Source organism: Homo sapiens, chromosome X, assembly GCF_000001405.40.
Source record: "Homo sapiens chromosome X, GRCh38.p14 Primary Assembly".
In the NCBI taxonomy this organism is placed as follows: Eukaryota; Metazoa; Chordata; class Mammalia; order Primates; family Hominidae; genus Homo; species Homo sapiens.
Genome location: NC_000023.11, coordinates 5,645,839 through 5,667,294, shown reverse-complemented (window position 1 = coordinate 5,667,294; position 21,456 = coordinate 5,645,839). Strand labels below are relative to the sequence as shown.

The following is a 21,456-nucleotide window of genomic DNA, read 5'->3' as shown; positions in this document are numbered from 1 at the left end:
AGGGCATACAGGTCATAAGTAGATTAGAACATTTTCTGATTTGAAATTGGTTAAGGAGAGAAGGTTTTGTTTAAAAATTTGGGGTCAGGCAGGGTGCAGTAGTTCACTCCTATAATCCCAGCAATTTGGGAGGCCAAGGTGGGCAGATCACTTGAAGCCAGGAGTTAGAGAACAGCATGGCCAACACAGTGAAACCCCGTCTCCACCAAAAAATACAAAAATTAGCTGGGTGTGGTGCTGCATGCCTGTAGTCCCAGCTACTCGCTACTCAGGAGGCTGAGGCAAGAGAATCACATGAACCCAGGAGGCAGAGGTTGCAGTGAGCGGAGATCACGCCACTGCACTCCAGCCTAGGTGACAGAGGAACACCCTGTCTCAAAAATAAATAAATAAATAAATAAATAAATAAATAAATAAATAAATAAATAAAAATTTGGGGTTAACAGAAAAGAATGTTAGCTGTGGCTCGTGAGCATGACCTCCTCTAGGTCCCTCAAAAAAATACATAGAACAAAGAACAGGCAGTCAGAGTTCAGTCTTTAGTTCCCCTTACCTGAGGTCTACATGCCAGGAGATCTGTTTGGTGACAGTCCAGATATCTGAAAAAAACATCTCAGGGATATATGCTAAGATATTATCTTTAGTCTTTCTAAAGAAATCAAACATCATGTGATTCTAACTTCCTTGGCTATTGTTTTAGCCTACTATTGAGATGGAAGATTTCCCTTGACCTCTTTGCAGGACTTGCGACGGGTGTGGCTCACTTACTGTCATAGCACTGGTGGGAGTGTAGTAGTGAGGACACCAGAGGTTACTCTCGTGGCCATCTTGTTTTTGGTGGGATTTGGCTGGCTTCTTTACTGCCACCTGTTTTATCTGCAAGGTCTTTATGACCTGTATCTTGTGCTGACCTCCTATCTCATCCTGTGACTTAGAATGCCTTAACCATCTGGGAATGCAGCCCAGTAGATTTTAGCCTCATTTTACCCAGCCTCTCTCTATACAAGACGGAGTTGCTCTGGTTCAAATGCCTCTGACAAGAACTTACAAGTCATAGGTGGATTCATAGATTTTCTGATTACCGATTGGTTGAAAGATTTAAGTCTGGTCTAAATACCTGAAGTTAGTAGAAATAAATGTTTGAGTTCAGACAAGAGGAATTGTGGAAACCAAGATTCTTGTTATGTAGACGAAACCTCGTAGACAGCAGCCCTCGGAGAGAATAGATGGTGAATGTCTCTTTTCAGACTTGAAAGGTGTCAGACTCACTCATTTAATCTCTCGTAGATACAGGAAAGACCTAGAAAGGGAAGGCCTGGTTGCATTCATGGAGATTGTCTATAGATGCAAATTGCACACACACACACACACACACACACACGCACCGCCACAAGAGATGGCTTTGCTAGGGCATTTCAAAATACGTCAAGTAAATTATTTTTGGTGGTAAAATATTTTGACTTTCTCCTTTTGGGGTCTGCTGTCTGTCATATGATGCTATATCTTGGCATTTGGTATCTTATTCCACAAAGCATCTGTTTTATCAGTCTTATGGTTTCTAGTTTTACGTTAATGTTGGTCAGTTTTGCCTAAACTCCAAAAACGAGTTTAACACCTCCACCTCGCTCTGGTGATGGCTGGGAATTCAGCTTTTCAGGTTTCTCTTGGGACTCTTGGGCAAAAGCGGGGCCCATTCAGTTATTTGGGGGGCTTAAGGTTATATTTTTAGTTTACAAGGCTAAACTGATATAATAGTGTGTCTAATGTAGTGTGTCACTGGGCACACAGCCCACAAGATGTTACAACTAATTTCCATTTTTGAATTAAGTCATGGACTGTCTCAATGTTCACAAAAATTACTTTAAAGCAATATTATGGGGTCACTTGAGGATTTGTTTTTGAAGAAGCAGAGAATCCTGATCTATTTTGTTCCATGACTCATCCACAGACATCTCATGCTGGGAGAAGACTGCTGGAGGTGTCTGTCTCTCCCCAACTTTTTCTGCATTCAAAGCTAATAACTGGAATGTTAGAGCAGGTAGTCAGGCAGACATGAGCAGAGCAAGAGAGCCCCTGCCCCGACCAAGGAAAGTCAGGCAACCATCAGGTGATAGCAGGCAGTTGTTAAGTTGTCTGCCTAAAATAATAATTGGTCACAGCTGGCACCAGGGAAAGACAGTCTACCAATAGGTTTTTTTCAAACCCCGAAACTATTGATCAGCAACTTCCCAGTAAGTTCTCAGGGGTTTGATGAGCGGGCTCAAGCATCCACATTAAGAGGCAGAATGGCAGAGTTGAACTGGTGTTTGACCTTCCTTTAGGAACACTCGACTGGTAAGGGAAAAACGCCTCAAGTGAGCATGCGTACAACTCCAGTAAACACACTGTGCGTGCAGCCCCTGCCGAGTACTGGCAGCCGACTGTGCATGTGGACAGCCCACCCCAAGGGAAGAATCAGGGCAGAAGGAATGTGACACCCCAGAAGTATGTCCATGTATAAAATACCAAGTCAAAGGTCAAACCGTGCACTTGGATCTCTCAAGTCTTCCACTTGGCCCTCTTCCAAGTGTACTTTACTTCCTGTTGTTCCTGCTCTAAATTTTTAATAAACTTTCACTCTTGCTCTAAAACTTGACTTAGTCTCTCCCTCTGCCTCATGCCCCTTGGTCAAATTCTTTCTTCTGAAGAGACAAGAATTGAGGTTGCTGCAGACCCGTATGGATTTGTAGCTACTAACAGGATCACTGATGTCAATAAAACTCTAATTGAGCAGACTGACTGCTGCGCATAGTGAGTGCTTGAGAAGAAAAAAAAAAAATCCTTGACTACTAAGGTTCGTGCTGGAATCAATAGGAATATTAAGATTTTACTGTGCTGTAGTTGTGGGTTTGAGGAATATGCTGCTTATAGATTTGGAAACGAGAATATTAGAGAAAACCAATAAAGATCACAGACAATGCTGAATGTCCAACCTCAGATGGGAAAGAGGGGGAGACAGAGCTGAATACAAAGAAAGCTTAGCCATGTGTTTCCTCCTTGCTTCTTTCTCTGCAAATGGGAGCCACTCTGAGACACAGCTTTGCAAATGGGAACCAAGTGGAGAGAGAGAGAGCGGGTCCAGCCTTAGGGATGAGCCTGTAAGAAATGATAGCTGGATTTGAGGAGGCTCAAGTGTCATTTTCTAAACTGGGCTGGGAGTGGATATTTAATCCACACATCGGAAGAAAAAAATTAGGCAGAGGTTTTAGTAATTGACAGATTGCCCTCAGGATCCCCAGGAAAAAGAAGACAAGGGCAGCTATTTTATAAATTCCCACTCTATGACCTGTCTTCTGGAATCTACCATCTAACACCCTCATGCCTCTTCTTCTTGAATTCCCTGATACTGAATTTTAAATGTCAAATCATCTAGCTTCTCTCTTTTAAAATTTTCTTCCATTCAAATGTATCAGCTAACCACCAGCATTGTGCCCATGTGGTTATCTGATTGCAATACTTTATGTTATTTTTGTGTATGTTGTCAATGCCTACGTTCTCCAGCAGGGTCATATTTTATCTCTAATGCTTAACACTTTGAGGGGTACACAAAAGAGAGATCTATTGGGAGCTAGTGGGAGTTTTTCATTTTTAACACTGGGCATTTCTATAAATTCATATTTCTGCATCTCCTTATTTTGTTAGGGAGTGATGTATGGTCCATCCTCATCATTTATGAATTCTGTAGTTGCAAATTTGCCTGCCAGACGACATTTATTTTTTTTTCTCCCCCATCAATGCTGGTGGTGCTTTTGCAGTCAGTTATGGACATGAACAGAGCGGTCAGAAATTTGAGTCTCCTGATACGAAGTTGCCCATCTGAGGTTAAACAAGGCAATGTGTTGTCTTCTTTCAGCCTTTGTACTGTAAGCAAGTGTACTTCTTAAAGTCTACTCAGTGCCACATTCATTTTTTTTGCATGTTCGTGCTTTTTGTTGGTGATGTTACTATTTAAAATGGCACTGAAGTGGAGGCTTCAGTGTCTTTGTGTGTCCCTAAGCACAAGAAAGTGTTACTGAAACATCAGGGGTTCAGCGTAGGTCAGTATCTCATTGCACAGAAAGCCAGTCACTGAGACAATGAGTATTGCCAGGGAAGAAGGCTTCATTCGGGTGACATCAGCCAAGGAGATGGGAGATAAGTCTCAAATCCATCTCCTCAGCTAACTAAAATTGGGGGGTCATAAAGCAGGCAAAGAATACAGCCATAAGTGGAAAACAGGAATTAGGGAGAGGTAAGGAAAAGGAGTTTGTCAACAGGAAGCAGATGGTCAGTTAGGCAGTCAGCGTTCTGCCTTCTCTTTGTCTGGATGCAGTGATCTGGTGATACTATCAGGGAGGCCTGATGGTGAGTTTCCTGAGAGAGAAACTCAGTTAAGAGAATTGTAAGTTGTAAGCCTTAAGAATGGGAGGGTCAATTTCTGTGTTTATTCAAAAAGACTGTAAACATCACTTCTATGGAGGAAGTTCTGGTTTCAAATACTCTGATGTGCCTTGCAGAGATAATATGTGTGTTAGGTAAGCTTTGCTCAGTCATGAGTTATAGTGCTGCTGGCCATGAGTTCAATGTAAATGAATCAGCAATATATTATAGATTAAATAAGGTGTCTTTAAACAGAAATACACATAAAACAAGGTTATATGTTGCTCCACTGATGAAAATGTAACTAGAGTCTCACAGAAACCCAACTCTGTATTTCCCCAGGAAAAACTATTTAGCATTGGCTAATCCATTGTCCATGGTGAATTTCTACAACATCAGTGTTGTGAATGATGACAAATTGACTGTCTTTTGATGTATGAAGGTTTGCAAACTACAAGGCATTATTCCACATAAAATCTCACTTAGTGAAGTTATGAGCACTGATGTCACATGCACCACCCCTCAGTGTTCAGGGGTTTCTGGACCCAAACAGTAAATAAAATAAACAAGAACTCCTGGTAGCATGTGGCTGTAGTGAACTGCTAACATCCACCCTAAAGAGGTGGTTGCTGGTTTCTGAGTTCTCTCACCTTCTTACACCAAATCCTTACACCATTCCCTGTGATGGTCAGACTTCTTACATAGCCCCGATGAGTTCACTTTCCTGGTATTGATGCTCCAGGAAAGCATCATCTTCAATAGACATCTATGATGTCACATCAGTGCTTAAGTTGTCCAAGATGGTGACATGGATACCATAATAAGACTAACTCCATTTCTTGTTATATGACTGCTATTAGCTTTTAAATCCCACTCATCCCTCTTCCCTTCTGCCGGATGTTTGAACATCTAAAAAATCATTATATCTAAAAAGTCATCAATATTTATATTTAGATTTAGGATGTCCCACATCACAATAAATACCTCAATAAATTCCATTGTGTCTATGTTGAAAGCAAACCTTACTGAACTTCCATTTCTACCATGACTGCCACCATCTGCCTGGACAACCTCAGAACCTTCTCGCACATCCTTGCTGCCTCTACCCTTAGCCCACCACAATCTGTTATCCACACAACATCTAAGAATCTTTTCCTCTGTAAAACATTCAAATATTTTTATATTATTGTTAGAACAAGCTTCAAAGTATGTATGGCCTCCAAGGACCAGTGCAGTGAGAACTTACTTGTCCCTCTCTCACCTGAAATTGATTCAGTCTTTTGTTCATGCACTGAACCACATTATGTCAGCTCCTCCAGCTGAGCAAGTCCTCTGCCTTTTCATGGTGTTCACACATGTTTCAACCCTGTGTGTGGAACAGCCTCCAGAAGCAGGCACCGTGCTGATCATCACCTCTGTCTTAGTACATTTGCATTGTTATAACAAAATATCTTAGACTGGGTGGTTTGTAGACAATGGACATTTATCTCTCAAAGTTCTGGAGGTGGGAAGTACAAGCTTAAGGCACAGTGGATTTTGTGCCTGGTAAAGACCCCCTTCCTGGTACATAGATGGCGCCTTCTTGCTGTGTCCACACATAGTGGAAGGGGCAAGGGAGCTCTCTGAGGTCTCCTTTATAAAAGCACTCATCCCATTCACAAGCAGTGCCCCTTCATGACCTAATCACCTCCCAAAGACCCCACCTCCTAATGCTGTCACCTTGGAGATTGGGATTTCAACATAGAAATTTGGGGGGCACACCGAGATTCAGATCATAGCACCCTCTTACACACATACACACACACAGACACATACATGAACACAAACTTTCTTTACATGGCTGGTACCTGCTCTCTCTAGGAGTCTCAGTCTTTTTTTTTTTTTTTTTTTTTTCTGTGAGATGGAGGAGTCTTGCTCTGTCACCCAGGCTCGAGTGCAGTGGTGTGATCTCGGCTCACTGCAAGCTCTGCCTCCTGGGTTCACACCATTCTCCTGCCTCAGCCTCCCAAGTAGCTGGGACTATAGGCGCCAGCCACCACGCCTGGCTAATTTTTTTGTATTTTTAGTAGAGACGGGGTTTCACCACGGTAGTCAGGATGGTCTCGATCTCCTGACCTCGTGATCCGCCCGCCTTGGCCTCCCAAAGTGCTGGGATTACAGGCGTGAGCCACCGCGCCCAGCCATTACAGACTAGTATGTCTAGAAATGTTTAAAAGTTCAAAGAAATGGACGCCTGCATTTTGTGTACCTACTTCAAAAGTGATCCCAGCTTGTTCAACATTTCCAAAAGTAACACTTCCTGACAGTGTTTCAAAATGAACTGGGTTTGTGGAAATCAGACCTGTTTTATGTCAGACACCTGCAGTTTCTCAGCACTAAAAACAGTACCTCCCTTAAGAGAATTCTGAACTTCACAGTAAACTTTGCTGAGCAAAGTTTTATGGTAGGATCACAGTTTCTCAATAGTACAATTCTTTTGTTCCTCTGCTTATAGTCCGCACCTTCCATATCACGATGCAATTAAGAGTCTCGTAAATTATTACTGTGCTTAGAATAAATAGAATAAAATCGGTTTTACTCATGGACATCTGCAAAATGAAATTCTATATATCACAATTACTTATACTTTATTAAGTTCATTATTGAATTCTTTGAACCTTTTAGATTGTTTTCACAAAAACTTACCACCAAACTGAATATAATTTGTAGCCCAATCAGAAATCAGAGGCCTCTTTCTCATCTTTAGGCTTCCTTGAAGGTCAGCCTTGTTACACGCTATGACACCATGTCAAATAGAAAAGATGTTTCCTCCTCTACCCCTTAAGCCACAATATGATCTATTATTGATCACTTATTCTCTGAGCAATTCGTAGGCATATGGAACTCCAAAGAGTGTTAACTTTAAAAAAAAAAAAAAGACAGACACACACACATTTATTTGGGGTCTACCTGATGATGTTCTTGGAATTTATTTAACACCAGACTTTGGACAAAGTGATGAATCTATACTATACAATAGGCTTCTTTTTGTGGGGGAGTCATGGCTTGGCGTCCCAATGAATGAAGCCTTCCGCTAAGTCAGCCTTCATGTACACTTTACGCTTTAAATAGGGGCATTCACAAGACTGACTGCTGTACAAGCTTTCGATCTTTGCTTCTCCTGAGAAACGCAATCCCTGAAACTCACATCATAGGCTTAGCTTTCAAGGAGCAAATGTTAAAGTACTAGCCCCGTCTTCTTCCCTGCCATAAGGCTACGTAAATGACAGTATTGTAGGAAGACAAACAAATCTGTTAATTTGTTGAAGGGCCCTTCACCATTACTCCAAATTTTAAAGAAGATACGTTTCAAATAAAATAAAATAGGAATAAATAAATGTGTTCACACTGTATTAAGTGCACGTGCATTACTTTCTTTCCAGGAACTGCAATATTGCCTTCCCAGTCATTTGATTTTGAGAACATTCAAATGTACAGAAATAAAGAGCAAGTACGATAATAACACCAAATCCTCTGCCCTAGACCGCACAATTCTTAATATTTTGTGATACTGTATTTGCTTCAACTGTATGTGAAATGTTTTTATATATAGTTGATATATAGGATATCAGAATATATCCTGATACAGGATATCAAATGAAAGGCTATGTGGTGGTTTTTCACTTGTTTGTTTGTTTTTGAGACAGAGTCTTCCTCTGTCACCCAGGCTGGAGTGCACTGGCACAATCTCAGCTCGCTGCAACCTCTGCCTCCCAGGTTCAAGCAATTCTCGTGCCTCAGCCTCCCGAGTAGCTAGGACTACAGGTGTGAGCCACCACGCCTGCCTAATTTTTGTATTTGTAGTAGATTTTAGTAGAGACGAGGTTTCACCATGTTGGCCAGGCTGGTCTCAAACTCCTGACCTCAAGTGATCCGCCCGCCTTGGTTTCCCTAAGAGCTGAGATTACAGGTATGAGCCGTCCAAGGCTACATGTTTTGATGCACCTAAGAATTTCAACATCCTTTCTAGACAATGTCTAATTCTAAGTCTAAATCTCACCTATGCAATTCTAGTTGTATTCTTGTGAGTAAATAATAATTCCCGGTATCTAGTACACAGTTAAATTGCATTTTTTGGCACCAAAATATACTTGATTTTTGATTGTTGGAACTCAGAATTGGATAAAGAATGAGCCATGAATCTGCATTTTTTTTAAAGAAATTAAGGGTAAAGTTGAATGCTTTTTATTACAAAGTCTTTTTATAACATTATGTTGTACATTTTTAATTCCAGTATTAATAATGACATACAGGCATATTAAAGCATAAAATAGAGAATAAATATAAAATTAATTACTTATTACTTATTCTAATAATAGTAGATCTCTAAAATCAACTAACAACAATAGTATTTTCAAGTGTTACCTTTGTTTTAAGTATCACCTTTATCTAGTGTAGTTGGGTTATTTTCTAAATAAACATTTCCTTTATTTTGTTCTTCTTTAAATATTCTCCACTTACAATTTTGTTCCCACTTTCTTATTCATTTTTCTGAGTATGCTTATGCCAATCATATACATCTCATACTTATTCCTGTCAATATTTAGAGCTTTCTACCACTTATTTAACATTTTTTCATCTAGACTATAAATGCAGAACTCTCTTTGTTATCTCAATAACAAAGATGATTTTTGTTTAGTGAACACAAATGCTAGAAACTGGATGGAAATTAGCACTTAAGGTCCATACGAGAAAAGCACAATATGACATTCTTGTAAGGCAGTTAGTCTGCAGTGTAATTATCTTTTTTTGTCTTTTCAGACTGGGTCTTGCTCTGCCATCCAGGCTGGAGTGCAGTGGTACAATCATAGCCCACTGCAGCCTCGACTTCTTAGGCTCAAGCAGTCCTCCCACCTCAGCTTCCAGAGTAGCTGGGATTACAGGCATGCGCCACCACATCTGTCTAATTGTCTGCATTTTTAATAGAGACAGGGTTTTGCCCTGTTGCCCAGGCTGGAATTACTTTAACATACTATGCTGTTTACGAATGGACAGCCACCTACTCAGTGATCTAAGCATATAGCTAAAGTAGAAAACCAACTAGTGAAAAACAACTTCCAAAAGAGATGTTAGAAGCAATTTCCAAATTTTCCTTACATGCACATTCCACCTCATGTTTGTAGGGTCACTTTGCACTACACTATATCCTTCCTAGCTGCTGATTAGTTACTCCTCTAATACTGAAGACAAAAAATGCCCAAAATACACTGCATTCAGATCCTTATCCCTACCTGTGGGTTCTGAAATAGAGCACTCTGTCAGATAACCAAGGGGAAAAAACAATGCCAAATAAATCTTTACCTGCCTCCAAATCTTTGCCCATTAGACTGATTTTAGTATCATGAGGGCTGAACGCTGTGTTATTTACACTTTCTCCTTTTATTAAATTTTCTTTTTATTGAGGTAAAATATGCATATATGATATATGATTGGCCATCTTTCCCATTTTTTGTGCACAGTTCAGTGGCAGTAAACCTATTTATATTCTTTTTCTTCTCTCCACCCTCCCCTCCCCCAGTCCCTTTCCTGCCTCTGGGAACCACCAATGTGCTCTGTCTTCACGAGATCCATTTTTAAAACTCCCATATATGAGTGATAATGTCATGTTTGTCTTTCTGTGCTTGGCTTATTTCATTTAACATAATGATATTCAGTTCTGTCCATGTTGCTGCAAATGACGGGGACTTCATTCATTTTTATGGCTGAATGTTCCATCATGTGTATATGTACCACATTTTCTGTATCCGTTCGTCTGTTGATAGGCACTTAGGTTGACTCCATATTTTCACTATTGTGAACAGTGCTGCAATAAACATGGGAGTGCAGATAGCTCTTTGATATAATGATTTCCTTTATTTTGGATATACAACCAGTGGTAGAATTGCTGGATCGTATGGAAGTTCTATTTTTTTTTTTTTTCTTTAAGAGACAAGGTCTTGCTCTGTTGTCCAGACTGGAGTGCAGTGGTGTGATCACAGCTCACTGCAGCCTTGAATTCCTGGGCTCAAGCAATCCTTTTGCTTCAGTTTCCCAAGTAGCTGGGACTACAGATACACACCACCATGCCTGGCTTATTTTAAGTTTTTTTGAGGAACTTGCACACATTTTCCCTAGAGGCTATACTAATTTACATTCCCACCAACAGTGTGAAAGTGTTCCCCTTTCTCTTTATCCTCACCAGCATTCATTATTGCTTATCACTTTGATAAATGCCATTTTAACTGGGGTGAGATAATATTGCATTGTTGCTTTGATTTGCATTTCTCTGATGACTAGTGATGTTGAGCATATTTTTGTACACTGTTGGCCATTTGTATGTATTCTTTTGAGAAATATCTGTTAGCGTTTTCTGCTCATTTTCAGCCTCCTGAGTAGCTGAGATTACAGGCACGTGCCACCACTCCTGGCTAAGTTTTGTATTTTTAGTAGAAACAGGGCTTCACCATGTTGGCCAGGCTGGTCTCGAACTCCTGACCTCAGATGATCCACCCACCTTGCCCTCCCAAAATGCTGGGATTACAGGCGTGAGCCACCACACCCAGCCCCTTTCACTTTTGTTGGCTGCCTGGGTGCTCTGCAGATAGCAGGGATCTTGTACTCAGTTATCAAGTTGAAGAATGCAAACCCTTCAGGCAGAGACACAGCAGTGTCACTGAGCTCTCGATGTGCTGTTTGTCTCATGTCAAGGAAGTTTGAGCAGACCAAAACAGCTTGCATGTCTACTTTACTCCCTATACCTAGAATACTCCACAGACCCATGCAGTACGTGCTCAAAAAAAATTTAAGAAATGAATTTAGGAAGGAATAAGGAATGAATGATAAATGAATTGCATCTTTCCTGACACAGGAATTTTTTTTCTTCCATAATAACTTAACTTATAAGGATTCTTCTTCATTTTTTTAATCTACTTCCAAATGGGCACTTGCATATAGTGCCTTTTGATGTCTGCTTTTGTGTTTTTCTCCAGCTCCCAGCTACTTACTGCCTTTGTACCAATCTTTTGTCTCCATGAAATACCTTCTTCTCTCCCTCATCAACTGGAACATCTTGAAGGGCTTTAATGCACAACTATCCAAAATACTTTCACAAATTTACAAAATCCTGCAAAATGTTTTAATCAATTGATACCAACCCAATAGTCCCATAGACAATTGTTTTGTTGTTTGGTTTTTGTGTGGGTTTGTTTTTGTTTTTGTTTTTGATACATATAGAAATGGGCACTTCTAGTCTTAAAGCAACTTGAACCTTACATTTGTTTTATCTGAGTTCCTTCCTCAGGAAATGACCCTCAGGGCTCTCAAAAATTATCAAAGAACAAAACCTCAACAGGTTACCACATCCAGACAATGAGATGCCAGACCCCTCATTCTTCATGATTGCTTTCTTACCACTCCCTAATTCCCGATTTCTTAACCAATCACCTACCTCCTGTTGAATACTCCTCTTCCTTACCCCTCCCTAATTCCTGTTTTCTCACACACAGTTACATTTCTTCCCTGCTATTATTATGACCCCTAAGTTGAGTCAGTTAGGGAGATAGATTTCAGACTCATCTTCCATTTCCTCGACTGCAGCACCTGATTTAAGTCTTCTTCCATGGCAGTACTCATTGTCTCAATGATTGCCTTTCTGTGTGGCAAGCAGGAGGACCTAGACTGAACCCCTGGCATTTCAGTAACAGAGAGACAGTAGCTATTTTAGTAATCAGGTTGTAGGAGAAAAAAAAACTTTGCAGTTATCCCACATAGTTACTATGTGAAGTTGAGTTAAATTTCTCCTAATGATACAGATGGGGGGCAGGAGAAAATTCCCCCACAAAGGCCTCACCCTCAAGCCTGGAAACCTGTGGCCCTCAATGGAAAGAGATATTCTTATTTCCACGCCCAAATGTTGCCTCTTCCAAGACCACTCTGGCCCACCATGTCCCCATCCTTTATCCATATAAACCCCAAGCCCCAGGCTCCATAGGCAGAAGAGCAGCAGAGTGGAAGAGTAACAAAGTGGCGCAGCAGACAAGGAGAGAATAGAGGAAGCATCTGAACATCGACAGGAGTTTGGCTGGAGGCAGTTGGAGAGGAAATTGGCCATGGTACAGACGAACTCCAGGGGAAAGATCGTTTTCCCACTCCATCCCCTCTCCAGCTCCCCATCCCACTGAGAGTCACTTCCATCACCAAATAAAATCCCCACATTCACCATCCTTCAAATCCAAGTAACCTCATTCTTCCTGGACACCAGACAAGAATTCAGGACCAACTGGGTACAGGAACCCAAAAGGGTTGTCACACTAACTTTTCACTGAGCTGTTTAACACTTAAGCCATCCCCAGGCAGCAGGGCTAAAGGAACACTGTAACACCCCTAGGCACCGTCATGGAGCCAGAGCCCAGATGCACTCACCCTGGCTCCTGCACCTGCTCACCTGCATGCTCTCCCACCTGTAAAGGGTTTGAATATGCAGTGGCAGAGTAAGCAAGTCACAATCCTGTCGCAAGTCCTGTGAGGGGGTCAGGGAACTCTCCCATCTCACTAAGAAAAGCTGTAGACATTTTTGTGCATTTGTGCATGTACTAGTTGATTTATTCAGTATTTATTTTATGAGCAATGAATATCCCAGGAAGGGTACTGAGAATATGTTGGCATCGAACAAAACAAAGGGAGATCCCTACCTTTGAGGGATTTATGTTTTAGTAGAAGAGACACACAATGGCAAATATATCATACGAACTAAGTAGTATTTTATAAGATGACAAATGTTATAAAATGGTTAGTGTAGACCAGGTTGGCTCCGGGGGGGGGGGGCGGGGGGCGGGTGATGGTGAGGGTGGAGGTTATGTGATGCAATTTTAACCAAGATCAAAAGGTATCAAAGGAATGTATCACAGCGATGCCAGCACATGAACAAAGACTTGACAGAGATAAGACAGTGAGCAACAGAGAGAGAGACTTGAGAAAAAAGCCTTCTCCACTGCAGTGGAAATAAAACCAGTCCCCTTAGGATTTCTATACCTAGCATTTTTAGTGACTGGAATCATGACAATTCTGCTTCAGCTCTTGCTTGCTTGCACAAGTTAACTACTCAGTTTTTGCCCATCATCCCTTGTTCCTGCAATACAACGATAAATTGCTGATGTACTGTTTCTTTGTCAAGCAGGAGAAGGTCACTTGAGGGTCATGAAAAAATTTGCAGAAGGAATGAATGCCTTGAAGGACGTTGCGACCAGCTGCTGATACCCAGGAATCTGGTTGCTCAAGATGTTACCTGAGAATAAAGAAACGCAGACTTTTCCCCCTCACTTCCCTGAAACTGCCTCTCCTTTACTCCTTAGCTACCTAAAAACTCACTGCTTCCTCTTTTTGTTAAGATGGATTTGAGACATCTTGCTCTCCCAACTTCTTGCTTTGACCAAATTGAATAAATCTTGTTTGATCTCCAAGCATCAATGTCTCAGTGCTTGGCTGTAGCTGCATGAGCCTGAATTTAGGGTTCCATAAGGGGAACATCCAGTGAGGATACCTCAAAGTAGAGTGAACCTGGAGCCTCCTGCAAAGCAAGGTAACTTCTGGCTGGAAGGCAGAGAAGCAAGGGAAATCTGAGGTAAGGACTCAATGTGAGATGGTGCCAGATATCTTAAAGTTTTGATGCTGACTGAGTTGGGGGACTATTGGAGAGCATTGTGCAAAGGACTTATCCTCTGCTGAATGGGTGGAGAGTGTTGGAAGTGTGCCCAAGAGTAAGGATCAAGGATGTTTGCGTAAATTCACAGGGAAGAAAAAGGATGGTTCTGAGTAGGAGGAGCTGTGGTGTTTTCTCAGAAGTAGTATCTGCCTCTGGATATATTTTGAAGGTTTGGTCAAAAAGATCCATCAAACAAATTAGAAACAGGATATAAAAGAAAAAGAGAAGACAGGAAGATCGTCACAGTTTTAGAAACCCTATGAACAGTTTCAAGAGCTCACAGCCAAACTCAAAGCCCGCAGTTGTATAACTCTCTGTATGCGGATCTCTTTGAAACCAATAGTTTTGAAAGATGAAGGAATTTGGTTTTCTAAAATATTAGTGGCTTCAATCACAGTTATCACTGACATTTTGTGTGTGTGTGTGTGTATGTGTGTGTTTTGTCAGCTTAAATAAAAGTGTTTTGCTTTAAAGCCAAATGATTTTTTCCTCTGGATTTCAGGGTTGTACTTACTTTAAAATTTCTCTTCGGTGGTATTTTTTATTTTATTTTTTATTTTTTATTTTATTTTTATTTTTATTTTTTTTGAGACGGAGTCTCGCTCTGTCGCCCAGGCTGGAGTGCAGTGGCGGGATCTCGGCTCACTGCAAGCTCCGCCTCCCGGGTTCACGCCATTCTCCTGCCTCAGCCTCCCAAGTAGCTGGGACTACAGGCGCCCACCACTACGCCCGGCTAATTTTTTGTATTTTTAGTAGAGACGGGGTTTCACCGTTTTAGCCGGGATGGTCTCGATCTCCTGACCTCGTGATCCGCCCGCCTCGGCCTCCCAAAGTGCTGGGATTACAGGCGTGAGCCACCGCGCCCGGCCTCTTCGGTGGTATTGTAGAGCAGTTTCATACAAAGATTCATGCAAACAGTGCTCTTTATGATTTAATTAAATTTAAACAAAAATAGTGGTAGAGATTCTCAAGATAAATTTAGATGTGTACTTGTGGTATTTGAGAGGCAAACTGACTTTTTACTAATTCTTGAAAATGTGTACATACACCGTTCTGAAAAAAAGACAGGTTAGCATTATTTTGGTTTTGTTTTTCTTCTAAAACTAAAATTCCTATTTAAAATTATATCTGGAAATTTACTAATGTGGCAGAACCTATTTATTCTAGTGCTACAGGTAAAATGTTTATAAATAAGCAGATTAAGTAAAAATACATCACAAAACTAGTGGGTAATAAGAGGCAAACAACAATAACAGAATTATATCATGATTATTACAGATGGGGTCTTGCTCTGTTGCTCAGTTAGGAGTGCAGTGGTATGATCATGGATCACCAAAGCTTTGACCTCCTGGGCTCAAGTGATCCTCCCACTCAGCATCCTGAGTAGTTGAGACTACAGGTGTGCACAACTCCAGGCTATATTTTTAAGTTATTTTGCAGAGATGGGGTCTCACTAGGTTGCCCAGGCTGGTCTTGAACTCATGGCCTCAAGCAGTCCTCCTGACTTGGGCTCCTAAAGTGCCGGGATTACAGGCATGGGCCACCATGCCTGGCCAGAATGAGATTAAAAACCTCTAGCTAAAAAAAACAATGCATGCAAGTGGAATAAATCTTTTTTTGTTTGTTTCTAAAAGGACTGCTCTCCAATAACTTTGAAATAATATTTTTATTTTAACTGAAACCAAATCAATATGAGTGAAATGAAAATAAAGCAATTCATCTGGATAAGACAAAAACAATCAAAAAAATCCCAGAAAATTCTATTGACTTTGTAATCTGTTTTTCTAATATGAAAGGAAGTATTCATGCACAGTTGTCAGTATTGGAAAGCATCTGCAGGAGAAATTACGATGAATTCGTAGTGTCAGAGGCATTTGAACCAGAGCAACTCCATCTTACATCGGGGCTGGGTAAAATAAGGCTGAGATTTACTTGGCTGCATTATGAGGAGGTTAGGCATTCTAAGTCGCAGGATGAGATAAGAGGTCAGCACAAGATACAGGTCAAAGACCTTGCTTATAAAACAGGATGTGGTAAGGAAGCTGGCCAAAACCCACCAAAACCAAGACGGCAATGACAGTGACCTCTGGTCATCCTCACAGCTCATTATATGCAAATTGCAATGCATTAGCATGCTAAAAGACACTCTCAGCAGTGCCATGACAGTTTACAGGTGCCATGGCAACATCAGGAAGTTACTCTATATGGTCTAAAAAGGGGAGGAACCCTCAGTTCCAGAAATTGCCCACCCCTTTCCTGGAAAATTTATGAAGAATCCACTTCTTGTTTGGCATATGAGCAAGAAATAACTATAAGTGTTGCAGGACTTTTCCTCAGTTCAGCTAAAGATGGGGTCCTTGTGCATCCCATGGCTACCAAAATTTAAGCTTGCACATGGTTTGAAGCGTGAGTGAAGCAGGGTTTTATTGGGTGAAAAAGGAAAAAAAGGGGAAAACAGGGATCGTCCAAAAAGCCAGAGTCCCTGCTAGAGCCCTTCCCGCCTGCAGCTTGAATCCCAGGTTTCACACAGGAAGAGGAGGAGCCAGGCTCCTCCCTGCTGCAAACTTGTGAACTTCCCCAGGCTCCATCCACCTCGGAGCCCACCAGTGGGCAACCTGGTTGGAGTTTCTCTAGGGAGCCCCTCCCACCTGACTGTTTCATAAATATCCTTAGTCCAGCAGCTCAAGGCACTGCTCTGCCTATGGAGTAGACATTCTTTTATTCCTTTACTTTCTTAATAATTGCTTTTACTTTACTCTGTGGACTTACCCCCAATTTTTTCTTGCACGAGATCCAAGAGCCCTGTTTTGGGGTCTGAATTCGGGCCTCTTTCCAGTAACAGTAGCAATGAGTCAAACACAGTGAGGAGGGCCTCTTTTTAATATTCCAGTCAGGGTCTCGCTGAGTTTTCAGTGTCCTGCAAAGAATGTGAAAACATAGTGAAAATACATGTTCCTCTTCAAATATTGAGCGAATTTAAAAAATTATAGATTAAAAAATTGCCCATAAAGATAAACACATGTACAGTGCATGGTTTGTTTCCCAAAATAAAGATTGTATTTTATTTTGGATGTGGAATTGGCACTTTTAAAATTTACAATGTATATCACTTTAATTTCATCATACCACTAAAAATTCTTCTATCACATGATTTTTAATAGTGCAAATTAGTCCATTCAGGGTATAAACCAAATTTGGGGGAATTTAGTTAGTATATCCGGCAAAATGCAATCACAGAAGCCGATCCAGGGGTCTATTCTTACACAGTGTTGAGAGCTGATTAACAAACTCTATAAGACTATCATTTTTATGTCGGATGCTGGCTCTCCAAGTCTACAGAACAAGCAGTTGAAAAGAGCAGAGGAACATGAAATGTGTGACAGCAAGAACAAGTAGTAATACACAAACACAGGTCTATACAATATAGCACCACTTAACTCATTCACAATATTGGAACAGTAATAAGACCTAACCCATAGGATCCTTACAAAGATGAAATGGGTTGTTACAGGTGAAGCCCTTAAAAAGAGAACTGATACGCACCACAAACTCAATAAAAGTTATTTCCACTTCAGTACAAGTAGTTGTAGTGTAACCAAACCACCTTTGCGAAAATCGTATCAGTGAGAAAATATTTTAACAGTAAGCTAAGCTAACCCACCCCCTATCTTGCCTTCCCCTTAATTATTCCTGAGCTATCGGGCCAAGCTAACTTTGGAAGACATTGAAGCTATAGTTTAAATGATAATAGGCCTTGTCCCCAAACTCAACCGCTTTTATAAAGCTAATGGAGGCCATTAGGCTGGGCAGAGGAGAAGAGTCCTGCGAAGGTGCAGACATAAGTAGTTTTCAGCTATTATTCCCAATCACTCCTGCAAATAACACCACTATTGTAGATTGGCCTTTTGAGGTAGCGTTCCAGGTTTTTTGCATGTCTGACGCCCACGGCTCTACCTGGACCCTGATGGCTCCACCTGGACTGCCAACCCTGCTCCTGTAGCCCCATCCAGAAGTGATTCAACCCACAGTAGGACAGCTTGGATACCCTATGAGTTCATCTCCGCCCCAACCAATCAGCAGCAAGCGCCTGTTACCTGGCCACCCCCACCCCTTCCCCCAAACTGCCTTTGAAAAACCCCTAACCTAAGAGCTTTGGACGAGATGATTTGGCTAGGAACTCCGTCTTCCACTTAGCGTGGCTGGCCTCATGTCTGTTAAACTCTTTCTCTACACAATGCAGTGGTCTTTACGCAGTGGGCAGAAAGAACCCCTCAGGTGGTTACAGCAGTACTTGCAGTAGTGCTGGATCTGGTGCTGGTAAGATTAGGAGCAGTAATCTTCCCACACCAGCTTAGATAAAGCATATTCCTCTGAATGCTACTGATAGCACATTTGAGATTCACTCACATTTTGCCTAGCAATATTTGACATGACTGTTTCCTTTTCTCTCCATTACCTAAAATAATTTTCTTCTCTTAAAAGCTTCTAAAGCTCTGTTTAAACATTTCAAAGACTTGCATGCACTTTTGGTCTCTTACACACAGAAAGAAAGACGTCGAGTCTGTCCTAAGAAAGATATGGGAATTATTCATTATTTATTATTAGGAAACATGGTGAGGTATTTATGTTGAACGAGGTACATATCTGAAAGGCACGCTTTCGGCAATTTTAAATGTACTAATGTATATATGATTTTTTCCTTCTTTGATATTTGGAAGGGTATTTCGAACATAAAAATATGGTCAGATTTTATTTTCAATTAGTTTAAAAAAATTGTTGGAAGCAAGGCTGGTAACAAGAGATCATCGTTTGAACGAACATTTGATTATATCACCTGAACAAAGGCAAGGACAGTCAGATAATTCTGAATAGTCCATAAAGGGATAATGTTAAATTTTAAATAAAGGTCTAAAAATATGCGTCAACATTTTCAGGCATGAACCTTTGTATATACATCAAAGACCGTCGCTCACCTTGAGCCTAGCACCTGCAGTTTCATCTCAAAACACCCGTTGGGAACAAGAGCCTCAGGGGATTGTGTTTATAGTAACTACTGTAGAGCATTTATGAAACCAACTCTCTTTTACATGTAATGAAAGATGCTTTTAGATCGATGGGCTGCTAGGTTTTGCCAATGTTTTATCTATTTCCAACAATTCTGTGGAAAATACAAGACAAATGCAGCTCTTTTGTAAAACCAGGTGACCTGAAGTTAATCTCAGTAGTTTCTTTCTTAGGAAGAGTCAGTCAAAGAATTTTGACCACTTGTGTCATCCAAGTTATTTTCAGTTTACTTCTTTAAAAGGAAAGACATTTTAAACAGTACTTACACTTCTGTGAAAGAAAATTAAATTTTGGGACTCCAAATTAAAATTTAGCCAAAGGGAAGAGTTAAGCTGGGAACTGGGTCATGCAAACCTGCCTCCCTGTTTTGCAGGGTTCCTAAATAAGATGGCTGCAAGATGAAAAGCTACATGCCTCCTGCATATTTTGCCCACAAGGAAAATCCATCAGGAATTAGATTTCCTAATAATCTAGGATAAAAAGATCTAGGGTAAAAAGATCTTTACCCTAAGGTGTTTCTGTTAAAATTTCACCATGGCAATGATAGCTTATCTTTACAGGTGCAGTCGCCTCTGGCCCACCAGACACAAATGAGTATCTGATTGTTCCCCTGCCCCATTTTGTCTATGTTATCTTATGTAACATGCAGATTCCCTGCATTTTTCCTCTGCCACAATTGTCTGTCACCTTATGTAAAAAGATGCAGATTCACTGTACCAGACAAAGGCATGAATAACTATTTTTCCCTACCTGCCTCTTACATGAAAATTGTGTACTTCTCAATATCTCGCCCTTTTCCCTTTAAATTTGGAGCCCTCAAAATTATCTTCAGAGAAAGGCATAGACCTGTCTCCTGGGCGTGCACCCTTAACTTTGACAAATAAACCTTCTAAAATGGTTGAGACTCGTCTTGCCATTTTTCTTGATGGACACTTCCAACTGATAGGGAAATGTTACACATACAAAAAGCAGAGAAGCCTTAGAAACCCTGGAAGGGAATTCAGAGGGAAGATGTCCAGAGATGAAAAGATAAGACCATGCAAAGCTTTGCATGAAGGATATTTTTAGGCACTGTGGTTATTCGCGAGACTGGGGGAAAGTGGAACTGAGAGTCCAGTGCACACGCATTTGCTTCCTGTTCAAGGCTGGAGTCCCCATGTGAAATGTGAGCTTACAAGACGACTGCCTTATCATGCATTCTGGTAAAACTTTTCAGAGTAAGTGGTGTCACAAACCATAGAGACCTTGATTTCTAAGTTCACTTCCTTGTTAAAATATTCCAACAGCTCAGAATCAGTGGCCTGAAATCTCTTTCTAATTTAACCGGGGTCCAGAACTGGTCCAGTGGCCACATAATTGCTCTGACTTTATTTTTTTAAAAGTAGGGTGGGATACATGTATTTTGAATTTGAACAGCTGCTCAATTCATTTTTAGGACATACATATTTGATGCAAGCACCACAGATTCACTGAAACAACACCTCTGCTGTCATTGTATTCATTTCCATTTCTTACTCTCAACCTCTAGAAGAAATTTTTTTTGTTAAGATATAATTTACAGGCTAGTGCATTTTGACTTTGTGTGTACATAAGTACATACATGCATTTACACAGATAGAGAGACGGATGGCTGGCTGGCTGGATGCATGGACAGATGGAAGGACGGATGGATGGATAGATAGATAGATAGATAGATAGATAGATAGATAGATAGATAGATAGATAAATGGATACATGGAAGGATAGATGCATAAATGGATACATGGATGGATAGATGCATAAATGGATGGATAGATGGATTGATAAATGGATGGATGGATGGATGGATGGATGGATGGATGGATGGACAGACGGACGGACGGACAGACGGATGGATGGATGGATGCATGCATGCATGGATACATAAATGGATGGATGGATGGATGGATGATGGATGGATGGACAGATGGAAGGACGAACAGACAGACGGACAGGCAGACAGACGGATGGATACATGGATGGATAGATACATAAATAGATGGATGGATGGAGTGATAGATAAATGGATGGATGGATGGATGGATCGATGGATAGATACATAAATGGATGGATGGACGGACGGATGGACAGACAGAAGAACACACAGGTAGATGGATAGATGGATAGATAGATACATAAATGGATAGTTGGATGGATGGATAGATAGATAAATGGATGGATGGATAGATAGATGATAGATAGATAGATAGATAGATAGATAGATAGATGATAGATTTGCTTTTCCCTCTCTTCTCACT

General features: G+C 40.9%; 3 annotated features.

Annotated features, from left to right (window-relative positions):
* Positions 17,500-18,385: an enhancer, noted in NCBI's record as "OCT4-NANOG hESC enhancer chrX:5566951-5567836 (GRCh37/hg19 assembly coordinates)". NCBI's record gives its function as "activates a minimal SCP1, AML or CMV promoter by ChIP-STARR-seq in primed H9 embryonic stem cells {active_cell/tissue: H9 hESC(primed)}" and the evidence as "EXISTENCE:reporter gene assay evidence [ECO:0000049][PMID:30033119]".
* Positions 19,997-20,286: an enhancer, noted in NCBI's record as "active region_29380". NCBI's record gives its function as "activates an Ori minimal core promoter by ATAC-STARR-seq in GM12878 lymphoblastoid cells {active_cell/tissue: GM12878}" and the evidence as "EXISTENCE:reporter gene assay evidence [ECO:0000049][PMID:35858748]".
* Positions 20,457-20,506: an enhancer, noted in NCBI's record as "active region_29379". NCBI's record gives its function as "activates an Ori minimal core promoter by ATAC-STARR-seq in GM12878 lymphoblastoid cells {active_cell/tissue: GM12878}" and the evidence as "EXISTENCE:reporter gene assay evidence [ECO:0000049][PMID:35858748]".